This window comes from Homo sapiens, chromosome 5, assembly GCF_000001405.40.
Source record: "Homo sapiens chromosome 5, GRCh38.p14 Primary Assembly".
NCBI lineage: Eukaryota > Metazoa > Chordata > Mammalia > Primates > Hominidae > Homo > Homo sapiens.
In genome coordinates, this window is record NC_000005.10 from 160,704,567 (window position 1) to 160,717,141 (window position 12,575).

Genomic DNA, 12,575 nt, shown 5'->3' on the forward strand with positions numbered 1-12,575 from the left:
CAAGTTAGAGTCACTAGCTGCATTATTCTCTAACTAGAGAGTCAGTCTGTTCTTTGATATTTTGAAGCCAGGCATTGAGTTCTCTCCAGCTATGAAAGTTGTAGATGGCATCTTCTTCCAATATAAGGTTGTTTGTCTACATTAAAAACTCATCTACACTAAAAATCATTGTTTAGCGCAGCCACTTTTACCAATTATCTTAGCTAGATCTTTTGATAACTTGCCACAGCTTCTACATCAGCACTTGCTGCGTCACCTTGCAGTCTCGCAGTTTTATATTATGGAGATGGCTGTTTTCCCTTAAACCTTATGAAATAATCTCTGCTAGCTTCCAACATTTCTTTCATCTTTTTTTTTTTTTTTTTTTTTGTTGAGACAGTCTTGCTCTGTCACCCAGGTTGGAGTGCAGTGGCATGATCTCAGCTCACTGAAAATTCCATCTTCTGGGTTCATGCCATTCTCCTGCCTCAGCCTCCCAAGTAGCTGAGACTACAGGCGCCCACCACCACACCCGGCTAATTTTTTGTGTTTTTAGTAGAGACGGGGTTTCACTGTGTTAGCCAGGATGGTCTCGATCTCCTGACCTCGTGATCTGCCAGCCTCGGACTCCCAAAGTGCTGGGATTACAGGCGTGAGCCACGGTGCCCAACCTTATCCTTTGTTTTCTAAGACAGGGATTTGCTCTGTTGTCCAGGCATGTCCAGGAGTACACTGGTACCATCTCAGCTTATGGTGGCCTCAACATCCCAGGCTCAAGCAATCCTCCTACCTCAGCCTCCCAAGTTGCTGGGACTACAGGTGCAGGCCGCCATGCCTGGCTATTTTCTTTTGTATTTTTTTTTGTAGAGATGGGGGTCTCACCATTTTGCTCAGGCTGGTCTTGAACTCCTGGGCTAAAGCAATCTGCCCACCTTGGGATTACAAGTGTGATTACAATTGGGATTACAATCTGCCCAACACTTTGGGATTACAGGTGTGAGCCACCATGCCCAGCCCCAACTTTTCTTCTGCAGCTTTCTCACCTCTCTCTGTCTTCATAAAATTGAAGAAAGTTAGGGGCTTGCTCTGGATTAGGCTTTGGCTTAAGGGAGTGTTGTGGCTGGTTAGACCTTCTATCCAGCTCTATAAAACTTTCTTCATATCAGCAATAAGGCTGTTTTGCTTTCTTACCATTTGTGTATTCACTGGAATAGCACTTTTAATTTTCTTCAAGAACTTTTTCTTTGCATTCACAACTTGGTCAACTATTTGGTGCAAGAGGCCTAGATTTCAGCCTGTCTTGGCTTTCAACATGCATTCCTCATGAAGGTTAATCATTTTCTAGCTTTTGATTTAAAGTGAGGGACATTCAACTCTTCCTTTTACTTGAACACTTAGAGGCCATTGTAGGGTTATTTATTGGCCTAATTTCAATGTTTCTGTGTCTCAGGGAATAAGGAGGCCCACGAAGAGGGAGAGAGATGGGGGAACAGCTGGATGGTAGAGTAGTCAGGACACACACATTTAGAGATTAAGTTTGCCACCTTACATGAGTGTGGTTGGCGGTGCCCCAAAATGATTACAATAGTAACATCAAAGATCACTGATCACAAACCACTATACCAGGTGTAATAAATGACAAGGTTTAAAATATTGTGAGAATACCCAGAATGTGACCCAGAGACACAAAACCAGCACATGCTGTTGGAAAAATCATGGTGGTGTTCTTGCTTGATGCAGGGTTGCTGCAAACCTTCAATTTGTAAAAAACACAGTATCTGTGAAGTGCAATAAAGGAAGTTCAATGAAGTGAAGAGCAATGAAACGAGGTTTGCCTGTGTTATTATATAATTAATATGGATTTAATTTGTAATAATAAACAATAAAAATGAAGAGACGTTAAGTGGCTTAAGGTTGCAAGAATAGTCAGTAGTAGAGTTAAAATGAGGTCCCCACTGTGCATCCCAGACACCTTGGCTCTTGATTTTTCTACCTCAACGTGAGCCAGAATTCCACTTAGGTTTACCTCCGTAGCCTGAGTCATCTGTGATTGCCCTGGTTAGTTTGTTTAAAAATAACCTTTTTATTTTGAAGTAATTTCAGGTTTACAGAAAAATTGCAACGATAATACAGAGAGTTCCTTTACCTGAGATTCTCCTAATCTCACATAGCCAAGATACATTGGTCAAAAACTAAGAAATTAATATCGATACAGGACAATGAACTAAACAACAGACTATTCAGATTTCACCTGGGTGATTTTTTCACTTCTTAAATTAGAAAGTATTTCAAATTAGAGAAAAGTAGAGACTGGCCTTAGTGTCACAGTGACACATAGGCCTCAGGGCACCAAAAGACTCAATGGGTCAAAGATTTGTGGACTGTTGGTTTGTTTTAATATTTATTTATTTATTTATTTATTTATGACAGAGTCTCGCTTTGTCGCCCAGGCTGGAGTGCAGTGGCTCTGAGTCAGCTCACTGCAATCTCCGCCCCCCAGGTTCAAGCAATTCTCCCACCTCAGCCTCCCTAGTAGCCGGGATTACAGGCGCCTGCCACCACGCCTCGCTAATTTTTGTATTTTTAGTAGAGATGGGGTTTCACCATGTTGGCCAGGCTGGTCTTAAACTCCTGACCTCAGGTGATCTGCCCACCTCAGCCTCCCACAGTGCTGGGATTACAGGCATGAGCCACCGTGCCCAGCCCTCTTTATTCTCATCTGAAACAATACTGAGCAACTTTCTAATGTGAGTCACACTTCTTCTGACTCTTCCACTACAGTGGGATCCCCCAAATCTAGGACCCCCTAAGCTGGTATTGCTGGACAGTGATCTGGCTTTTTAAGGTAGGAACCCTGGTCTCTTGATGACAGCCAATCACAACTTTCTTGCTCCATTTGAGATGCTGAAGGGACTCTCTGGTTATTATAAAACTCATTAAATTGCAAGCAAATAAATTTCTCGATACAGACTTTCCATAGCCATGAGACAATATCACATACTTTTTTTAAATTGTAATATGCGCATGTTATGTTCTGAATAGGGGCACACAAATTCAAGTACATCTTTCTGAAGAATAATAGACCAAAGTTGTTAATCTGTTTTTTCTTAAAGAAAAGCCTATTAATATCAGATGAGTGGAAGAGAATCTATAAAGTCAAAATGACTAAGAATCTGCTATGACAAGACCACAAACCCACAGAAGCAGAAACAGAAGAAAGAGAAGAGACAAAAAAGAATTGGGAAGAAAGTAGAGACACAGGCTTCGGCATTTAAGTACTCCTGTGGCTTGAATGGCAAAATGCCCGTGGAGACTCAGAGAAGCAGCACATCGATAAATCAATCAGACACTACAAGCTTGAAGAAGAATGATAGAGTGATGTCCCCCGGCTGGAATGCCTGATGGGGGTTGGGAGTTGCACATGCCTCCAGGAAATATCCACCTTCAGAAGACTTACTCTCTGAGGTCTAGTTTTCCCCTCTTCATTAAACCTCAATTGTTGGCAAGAGACCATGGATGTTTAGAAAAACCACTGGGCATTGCTTTTTATATGCCCGTCTGATTGAGGCCACTGAGGCAGATCCACTGACGTTCCCTGGTGTCCAGGGAGGTTGACAACCACTGCAACATTTTTAGGGTGTCGTTGAGGTTTTGTTGTCTGATTTTTAAAACAAAACTAGCATTCTTTCTGAGGGTATTTTGGCTTATTATTCTGATATGTGAAATTGAGATAAAAGCAAATTAACACGTGCAGGTAGCTACACTCAACCCCCGCCCCCTTCCAATCTCTAATAACTTTATTCTGTCCTTTCATGAGAGAGCCAAGGAGATAACACCCCATCTAGTGAGTGGATAATTAATTTCAATTTTCTCAATCTTTTTAGAGTTGTACACGTGAGGATTTGGTGACTTTTTACATCTCCAATATAATGTTCTCTATCACAAATGCTTCTTAATTGTCCAGGCTATAGATATGACATCTAGGCAGCTTTCCTTTCCTTTGGACCATTAGTAAGACAAATGGCTTTGCTGTCCAGCAGTGTGGGGTGGGGCTCTGTTGAGTACAGAATCATGTAGAGAAGCCTCTGATGGTGGTAGAAGGCATGTACAGGTTTGGAATCTGTAATATCACAGGGTATAAATTGAGAAGAGAAGTAAAAGGCAAGTTTGAGTTAAATCTATTCCGCCCTTCTGCTATGTTCCTATGGCACTGAGACTTGTTCTACGTCATGATGGAAGAGCTGTCTGTCTAGGGAAAAATCCATCCTGACTCTGATTTATCTGCATAATGACAACAATGCAAGGTTCTTGAATTATCTCGTGGATTAAAGACCCCTTAGAGACTGAGATTCAGACAGTGTATATTGGCACCATGATAGCAAGCAGACAAATGATACACATCGGAGAGCCAGGCAACAGACCCGTGTAGATATGCGAGCTAGTTACGTGACAGATATGGCCTTGCAAATCAGTACAGACAGACAGACCCCTTGGAAAATAGTGTTGAGACCATCAATAACTCATATACCAATGACAACAAAAACTTGTTTCTACTTCAACACAAAAAATAAATTCTAAGTGCATTAAAGACCTGCCTCATTGAGGGATAGGGTGAGGATTAAAACAAAATACAAGAGCATATCCTTATGGTCTTGAGGTAGGGAGGAAACTCTTAGGGCACAGGTATCAATAATGAAAAACTGATAAATCTCACTATATTAAACTTTCTGTGCCCTAAACAACATGCAAAGGTAAACCACATATTGGGAGGAGATGTTTGTAACATTATTAGATACACAAATTTGAAAAGGAAAAGATAACTCAATGGAAAAATAAAAAATGACACGAACAGGTTATTCACAGAAAAGAAATCCAAATATCTCCAAATCATACAGTTATTTTCAGCTTAACTAGTAATCAGGGACATGTAAATTAAAACAGCAATGAAATTACCTTGTTATACCATCATCAGACTGGTGAAAAATGAGAAGTCTAATTAAAGTTGAGATTTGGCAAAGATGAGATGCAATGGATACTTTCATAAACAAATTTTTTTTTTTTAATTTTTTTTTTTTTATTATACTCTAAGTTTTAGGGTACATGTGCACATTGTGCAGGTTAGTTACATATGTATACATGTGCCATGCTGGTGCGCTGCACCCACTAACGTGTCATCTAGCATTAGGTATATCTCCCAATGCTATCCCTCCCCCCCTCCCCCGACCCCACCACAGTCCCCAGAGTGTGATATTCCCCTTCCTGTGTCCAAGTGATCTCATTGTTCAATTCCCACCTATGAGTGAGAATATGCGGTGTTTGGTTTTTTGTTCTTGCGATAGTTTACTGAGAATGATGATTTCCAATTTCATCCATGTCCCTACAAAGGACATGAACTCATCATTTTTTATGGCTGCATAGTATTCCATGGTGTATATGTGCCACATTTTCTTAATCAAGTCTATCATTGTTGGACATTTGGGTTGGTTCCAAGTCTTTGCTATTGTGAATAGTGCCGCAATAAACATACGTGTGCATGTGTCTTTATAGCAGCATGATTTATAGTCCTTTGGGTATATACCCAGTAATGGGATGGCTGGGTCAAATGGTATTTCTAGTTCTAGATCCCTGAGGAATCGCCACACTGACTTCCACAATGGTTGAACTAGTTTACAGTCCCACCAACAGTGTAAAAGTGTTCCTATTTCTCCACATCCTCTCCAGCACCTGTTGTTTCCTGACTTTTTAATAATTGCCATTCTAACTGGTGTGAGATGATATCTCATAGTGGTTTTGATTTGCATTTCTCTGATGGCCAGTGATGATGAGCATTTCTTCATGTGTTTTTTGGCTGCATAAATGTCTTCTTTTGAGAAGTGTCTGTTCATGTCCTTTGCCCACTTTTTGATGGGGTTGTTTGTTTTTTTCTTGTAAATTTGTTTGAGTTCATTGTAGATTCTGGATATTAGCCCTTTGTCAGATGAGTAGGTTGCGAAAATTTTCTCCCATGTTGTAGGTTGCCTGTTCACTCTGATGGTAGTTTCTTTTGCTGTGCAGAAGCTCTTTAGTTTAATTAGATCCCATTTGTCAATTTTGGCTTTTGTTGCCATTGCTTTTGGTGTTTTGGACATGAAGTCCTTGCCCACGCCTATGTCCTGAATGGTAATGCCTAGGTTTTCTTCTAGGGTTTTTATGGTTTTAGGTCTAACGTTTAAATCTTTAATCCATCTTGAATTAATTTTTGTATAAGGTGTAAGGAAGGGATCCAGTTTCAGCTTTCTACATATGGCTAGCCAGTTTTCCCAGCACCATTTATTAAATAGGGAATCCTTTCCCCATTGCTTGTTTTTCTCAGGTTTGTCAAAGATCAGATAGTTGTAGATATGTGGCATTATTTCTGAGGGCTCTGTTCTGTTCCATTGATCTATATCTCTGTTTTGGTACCAGTACCATGCTGTTTTGGTTACTGTAGCCTTGTAGTATAGTTTGAAGTCAGGTAGTGTGATGCCTCCAGCTTTGTTCTTTTGGCTTAGGATTGACTTGGCAATGTGGGCTCTTTTTTGGTTCCATATGAACTTTAAAGTAGTTTTTTCCAATTCTGTGAAGAAAGTCATTGGTAGCTTGATGGGGATGGCATTGAATCTGTAAATTACCTTGGGCAGTATGGCCATTTTCACGATATTGATTCTTCCTACCCATGAGCATGGAATGTTCTTCCATTTGTTTGTGTCCTCTTTTATTTCCTTGAGCAGTGGTTTGTAGTTCTCCTTGAAGAGGTCCTTCACATCCCTTGTAAGTTGGATTCCTAGGTATTTTATTCTCTTTGAAGCAATTGTGAATGGGAGTTCACTCATGATTTGGCTCTCTGTTTGTCTGTTGTTGGTGTATAAGAATGCTTGTGATTTTTGTACATTGATTTTGTATCCTGAGACTTTGCTGAAGTTGCTTATCAGCTTAAGGAGATTTTGGGCTGAGACGATGGGGTTTTCTAGATAAACAATCATGTCGTCTGCAAACAGGGACAATTTGACTTCCTCTTTTCCTAATTGAATACCCTTTATTTCCTTCTCCTGCCTGATTGCCCTGGCCAGAACTTCCAACACTATGTTGAATAGGAGTTGTGAGAGAGGGCATCCCTGTCTTGTGCCAGTTTTCAAAGGGAATGTTTCCAGTTTTTGCCCATTCAGAATGATATTGGCTGTGGGTTTGTCATAGATAGCTCTTATTATTTTGAAATATGTCCCATCAATACCTAATTTATTGAGAGTTTTTAGCATGAAGGGTTGTTGAATTTTGTCAAAGGCTTTTTCTGCATCTATTGAGATAATCATGTGGTTTTTGTCTTTGGCTCTGTTTATATGCTGGATTACATTTATTGATTTGTGTATATTGAACCAGCCTTGCATCCCAGGGATGAAGCCCACTTGATCATGGTGGATAAGCTTTTTGATGTGCTGCTGGATTCGGTTTGCCAGTATTTTATTGAGGATTTTTGCATCAATGTTCATCAAGGATATTGGTCTAAAATTCTCTTTTTTGGTTGTGTCTCTGCCCGGCTTTGGTATCAGGATGATGCTGGCCTCATAAAATGAGTTAGGGAGGATTCCCTCTTTTTCTATTTATTGGAATAGTTTCAGAAGGAATGGTACCAGTTCCTCCTTGTACCTCTGGTAGAATTCGGCTGTGAATCCATCTGGTCCTGGACTCTTTTTGGTTGGTAAACTATTGATTATTGCCACAATTTCAGAGCCTGTTATTGGTCTATTCAGAGATTCAACTTCTTCCTGGTTTAGTCTTGGGAGAGTGTATGTGTCGAGGAATGTATCCATTTCTTCTAGATTTTCTAGTTTATTTGCATAGAGGTGTTTGTAGTATTGTCTGATGGTAGTTTGTATTTCTGTGGGATCGGTGGTGATATCCCCTTTATCATTTTTTATTGTGTCTATTTGATTCTTCTCTCTTTTTTTCTTTATTAGTCTTGCTAGCGGTCTATCAATTTTGTTGATCCTTTCAAAAAACCAGCTCCTGGATTCATTGATTTTTTGAAGGGTTTTTTGTGTCTCTATTTCCTTCAGTTCTGCTCTGATTTTAGTTATTTCTTGCCTTCTGCTAGCTTTTGAATGTGTTTGCTCTTGCTTTTCTAGTTCTTTTAATTGTGATGTTAGGGTGTCAATTTTGGATCTTTCCTGCTTTCTCTTGTAGGCATTTAGTGCTATAAACTTCTCTCTACACACTGCTTTGAATGCGTCCCAGAGATTCTGGTATGTGGTGTCTTTGTTCTCGTTGGTTTCAAAGAACATCTTTATTTCTGCCTTCATTTCGTTATGTACCCAGTAGTCATTCAGGAGCAGGTTGTTCAGTTTCCATGTAGTTGAGCGGCTTTGAGTGAGATTCTTAATCCTGAGTTCTAGTTTGATTGCACTGTGGTCTGAGAGATAGTTTGTTATAATTTCTGTTCTTTTACATTTGCTGAGGAGAGCTTTACTTCCAACTATGTGGTCAATTTTGGAATAGGTGTGGTGTGGTGCTGAAAAAAATGTATATTCTGTTGATTTGGGGTGGAGAGTTCTGGAGATGTCTATTAGGTCTGCTTGGTGCAGAGCTGAGTTCAATTCCTGGGTATCCTTGTTGACTTTCTGTCTCATTGATCTGTCTAATGTTGACAGTGGGGTGTTAAAGTCTCCCATTATTAATGTGTGGGAGTCTAAGTCTCTTTGTAGGTCACTCAGGACTTGCTTTATGAATCTGGGTGCTCCTGTATTGGGTGCATAAATATTTAGGATAGTTAGCTCCTCTTGTTGAATTGATCCCTTTACCATTATGTAATGGCCTTCTTTGTCTCTTTTGATCTTTGTTGGTTTAAAGTCTGTTTTATCAGAGACTAGGATTGCAACCCCTGCCTTTTTTTGTTTTCCATTGGCTTGGTAGATCTTCCTCCATCCTTTTATTTTGAGCCTATGTGTGTCTCTGCACATGAGATGGGTTTCCTGAATACAGCACACTGATGGGTCTTGACTCTTTATCCAACTTGCCAGTCTGTGTCTTTTAATTGCAGAATTTAGTCCATTTATATTTAAAGTTAATATTGTTATGTGTGAATTTGATCCTGTCATTATGATGTTAGCTGGTGATTTTGCTCATTAGTTGATGCAGTTTCTTCCTAGTCTCGATGGTCTTTACATTTTGGCATGATTTTGCAGCGGCTGGTACCGGTTGTTCCTTTCCATGTTTAGCGCTTCCTTCAGGAGCTCTTTTAGGGCAGGCCTGGTGGTGACAAAATCTCTCAGCATTTGCTTGTCTATAAAGTATTTTATTTCTCCTTCACTTATGAAGCTTAGCTTGGCTGGATATGAAATTCTGGGTTGAAAATTCTTTTCTTTAAGAATGTTGAATATTGGCCCCCACTCTCTTCTGGCTTGTAGGGTTTCTGCCGAGAGATCCGCTGTTAGTTTGATGGGCTTTCCTTTGAGGGTAACCCGACCTTTCTCTCTGGCTGCCCTTAACATTTTTTCCTTCATTTCAACTTTGGTGAATCTGACAATTATGTGTCTTGGAGTTGCTCTTCTCGAGGAGTATCTTTGTTGCGTTCTCTGTATTTCCTGAATCTGAACGTTGGCCTGCCTTGCTAGATTGGGGAAGTTCTCCTGGATAATATCCTGCAGAGTGTTTTCCAACTTGGTTCCATTCTCCACATCACTTTCAGGTACACCAATCAGACGTAGATTTGGTCTTTTCACATAGTCCCATATTTCTTGGAGGCTTTGCTCATTTCTTTTTATTCTTTTTTCTCTAAACTTCCCTTCTCGCTTCATTTCATTCATTTCATCTTCCATTGCTGATACCCTTTCTTCCAGTTGATCGCATCGGCTCCTGAGGCTTCTGCATTCTTCACGTAGTTCTCGAGCCTTGGTTTTCAGCTCCATCAGCTCCTTTAAGCACTTCTCTGTATTGGTTATTCTAGTTATACATTCTTCTAAATTTTTTTCAAAGTTTTCAACTTCTTTGCCTTTGGTTTGAATGTCCTCCCGTAACTTAGAGTAATTTGATCGTCTGAAGCTTTCTTCTCTCAGCTCGTCAAAATCATTCTCCATCCAGCTTTGTTCTGTTGCTGGTGAGGAACTGCGTTCCTTTGGAGGAGGAGAGGCGCTCTGCGTTTTAGAGTTTCCAGTTTTTCTGTTCTGTTTTTTCCCCATCTTTGTGGTTTTATCTACTTTTGGTCTTTGATGATGGTGATGTACAGATGGGTTTTCGGTGTAGATGTCCTTTCCGGTTGTTAGTTTTCCTTCTAACAGACAGGACCCTCAGCTGCAGGTCTGTTGGAATACCCTGCCGTGTGAGGTGTCAGTGTGGCCCTGCTGGGGGGTGCCTCCCAGTTAGGCTGCTCGGGGGTCAGGGGTCAGGGACCCACTTGAGGAGGCAGTCTGCCCGTTCTCAGATCTCCAGCTGCGTGCTGGGAGAACCACTGCTCTCTTCAAATCTGTCAGACAGGGACACTTAAGTCTGCAGAGGTTACTGCTGTCTTTTTGTTTGTCTGTGCCCTGCCCCCAGAGGTGGAGCCTACAGAGGCAGGCAGGCCTCCTTGAGCTGTGGTGGGCTCCACCAAGTTCGAGGTTCCCGGCTGCTTTGTTTACCTAAGCAAGCCTGGGCAATGGCGGGCGCCCCTCCCCCAGCCTCGTTGCTGCCTTGCAGTTTGATCTCAGACTGCTGTGCTAGCAATCAGCGAGATTCCGTGGGCGTAGAACCCTCTGAGCCAGGTGTGGGATATAGTCTCGTGGTGCGCCGTTTCTTAAGCCGGTCTGAAAAGCGCAATATTCGGGTGGGAGTGACCCGATTTTCCAGGTGCGTCCGTCACCCCTTTCTTTGACTCGGAAAGGGAACTCCCTGACCCCTTGCGCTTCCCAGGTGAGGCAATGCCTCGCCCTGCTTCGGCTCGCGCACGGTGCGCACACACACTGGCCTGCGCCCACTGTCTGGCACTCCCTAGTGAGATGAACCCGGTACCTCAGATGGAAATGCAGAAATCACCCGTCTTCTGCGTCGCTCACGCTGGGAGCTGTAGACCGGAGCTGTTCCTATTCGGCCATCTTGGCTCCTCCCACTCTCATAAACAAATTTTTGTGACCATTTTGAGAAGAATTTAGCTTGCTTTATTTATTTATTTATTTATTTATTTATTTATTTATTTTTGAGACAGTGTCTCACTCTGTGGCCCAGGCTGGAGTGCAGTGGTGTGGTTTCGGCTCACTGCAACCTTTGCCTCCTAGGTTCAAGCAATTCTCTGACTCAGCCTCCTGAGTAGCTGGGATTATAGGTGCCTACCACTACGCCTGGCTAATTTTTGTAGTTTTAGTTGAGATGGGGTTTCACCATCTTGGCCAGGCTGGTCTTGAACTCCTGACCTCGTGATCCACTCTCCTGGGCCTCCCAAAGTGCTGGGATTACAGGCATGAGCCACCATACCCGGCCAGAATTTAGTTTTATTAAGCCGTGTTGAAAGTGCACATGTTCTTAGACCCAGCATTTTCACATCTATATACATACCTTGAAGCAATTTGCACACGTGCACAAGGAGATCTTCAGAAATATTAATTACGTCATCATTCAGTAAATGTCAAAAATGGAAACAAATGTCCATCAAAGAGTAGAATAAAAAAATTGTAACATATTTATATAATAGAATATCTAATGGCAGTTAAAATTATACTATATCTCATGAATACATAGCATATAATAATGTCTTATTAAGGGTTAACTATTATTTTGCTGTAAGTACTACTATAAGCACTTTGCATGTCAATATTAATTCATATAACTCTCATAACAACCCTGTGATGGGGGGTACTATTAGCATCCCCATTTTACAGATGAAGAAAGTAAGAAGCAGGGAAGTTTAAGTATTTAAAGGTCTCATAGCTGTCGGTGGCAGAGTTGGGCTGTGAACCAGCCCATCTACTCCAGAATTGGTGCTTTAACACTATGCTTGCCTCATAAAACAAACAGAATGCTAGGAAACAAAATGTAAAGTTGAGCAAAAAGTTCCACTGGGAAGACGATACATATGAGTCTCCATTATCTAGGGTTAGGTTCAGCCACATTTAACAACTACAAAAACAACAACAATAAGTGGCTTAAACAAGGTAGAGGTTTCTTTATGATGTAAAACAAATCTAGAGGTAGGTAGTCCAAGGCTGATATGGAGGCACCAAGGTCCTGCGGGACCCCGTTTTTTCTGTTCCATCATCCTTAGCTCTGGTTTCCATCATCAAGGTGGTGTCATGAACCAAAGGACTATTGGAGCTACATCCACCTCAGTCATGTTCCACATAGGAAAAGGAAAGAAACGGGGAAGCAACGCAAAAGATATACCTGTTAGCGGAGTCCCTTTAAGGAGGTTAGACCAGTGACCTTTGCTGTGCCCCTACAGCCACAGGAAGAGGGGGCAGATGTAGTACTTTAGCTGGGCAAATTGTTGATCAGAATAAATTGCAAGTTCTGTAAGCAAGAAAAGAAAATATTGAGTAGGCAACTAACAGTTCAGTTATAAATGCTATTTATATAAGGTTTAAAACAATGCTACATATTCTTTATGTGAAACTATA

At 41.2% G+C, this 12,575-nt stretch overlaps 1 protein-coding gene across 12 annotated transcripts in view; it reads right to left on the reverse strand.

Moving 5' to 3' along the window:
* The window catches only part of ATP10B (ATPase phospholipid transporting 10B (putative)), a 366,241-nt gene that overhangs the window by 141,447 nt on the left and 212,219 nt on the right, over positions 1 to 12,575 (reverse strand). For 11 of the 12 annotated variants that reach the window (XM_017009252.2, XM_047416995.1, XM_011534468.3 and 8 more), the window contains one exon: positions 12,343 to 12,468. The exons of the other annotated variant lie outside the window; for it this stretch is intronic. The gene's annotated coding sequence lies outside the window, so the exon portion shown is untranslated. The remainder of the gene's footprint in view (positions 1 to 12,342; positions 12,469 to 12,575) is intronic. 12 annotated transcript variants of the gene reach the window in all.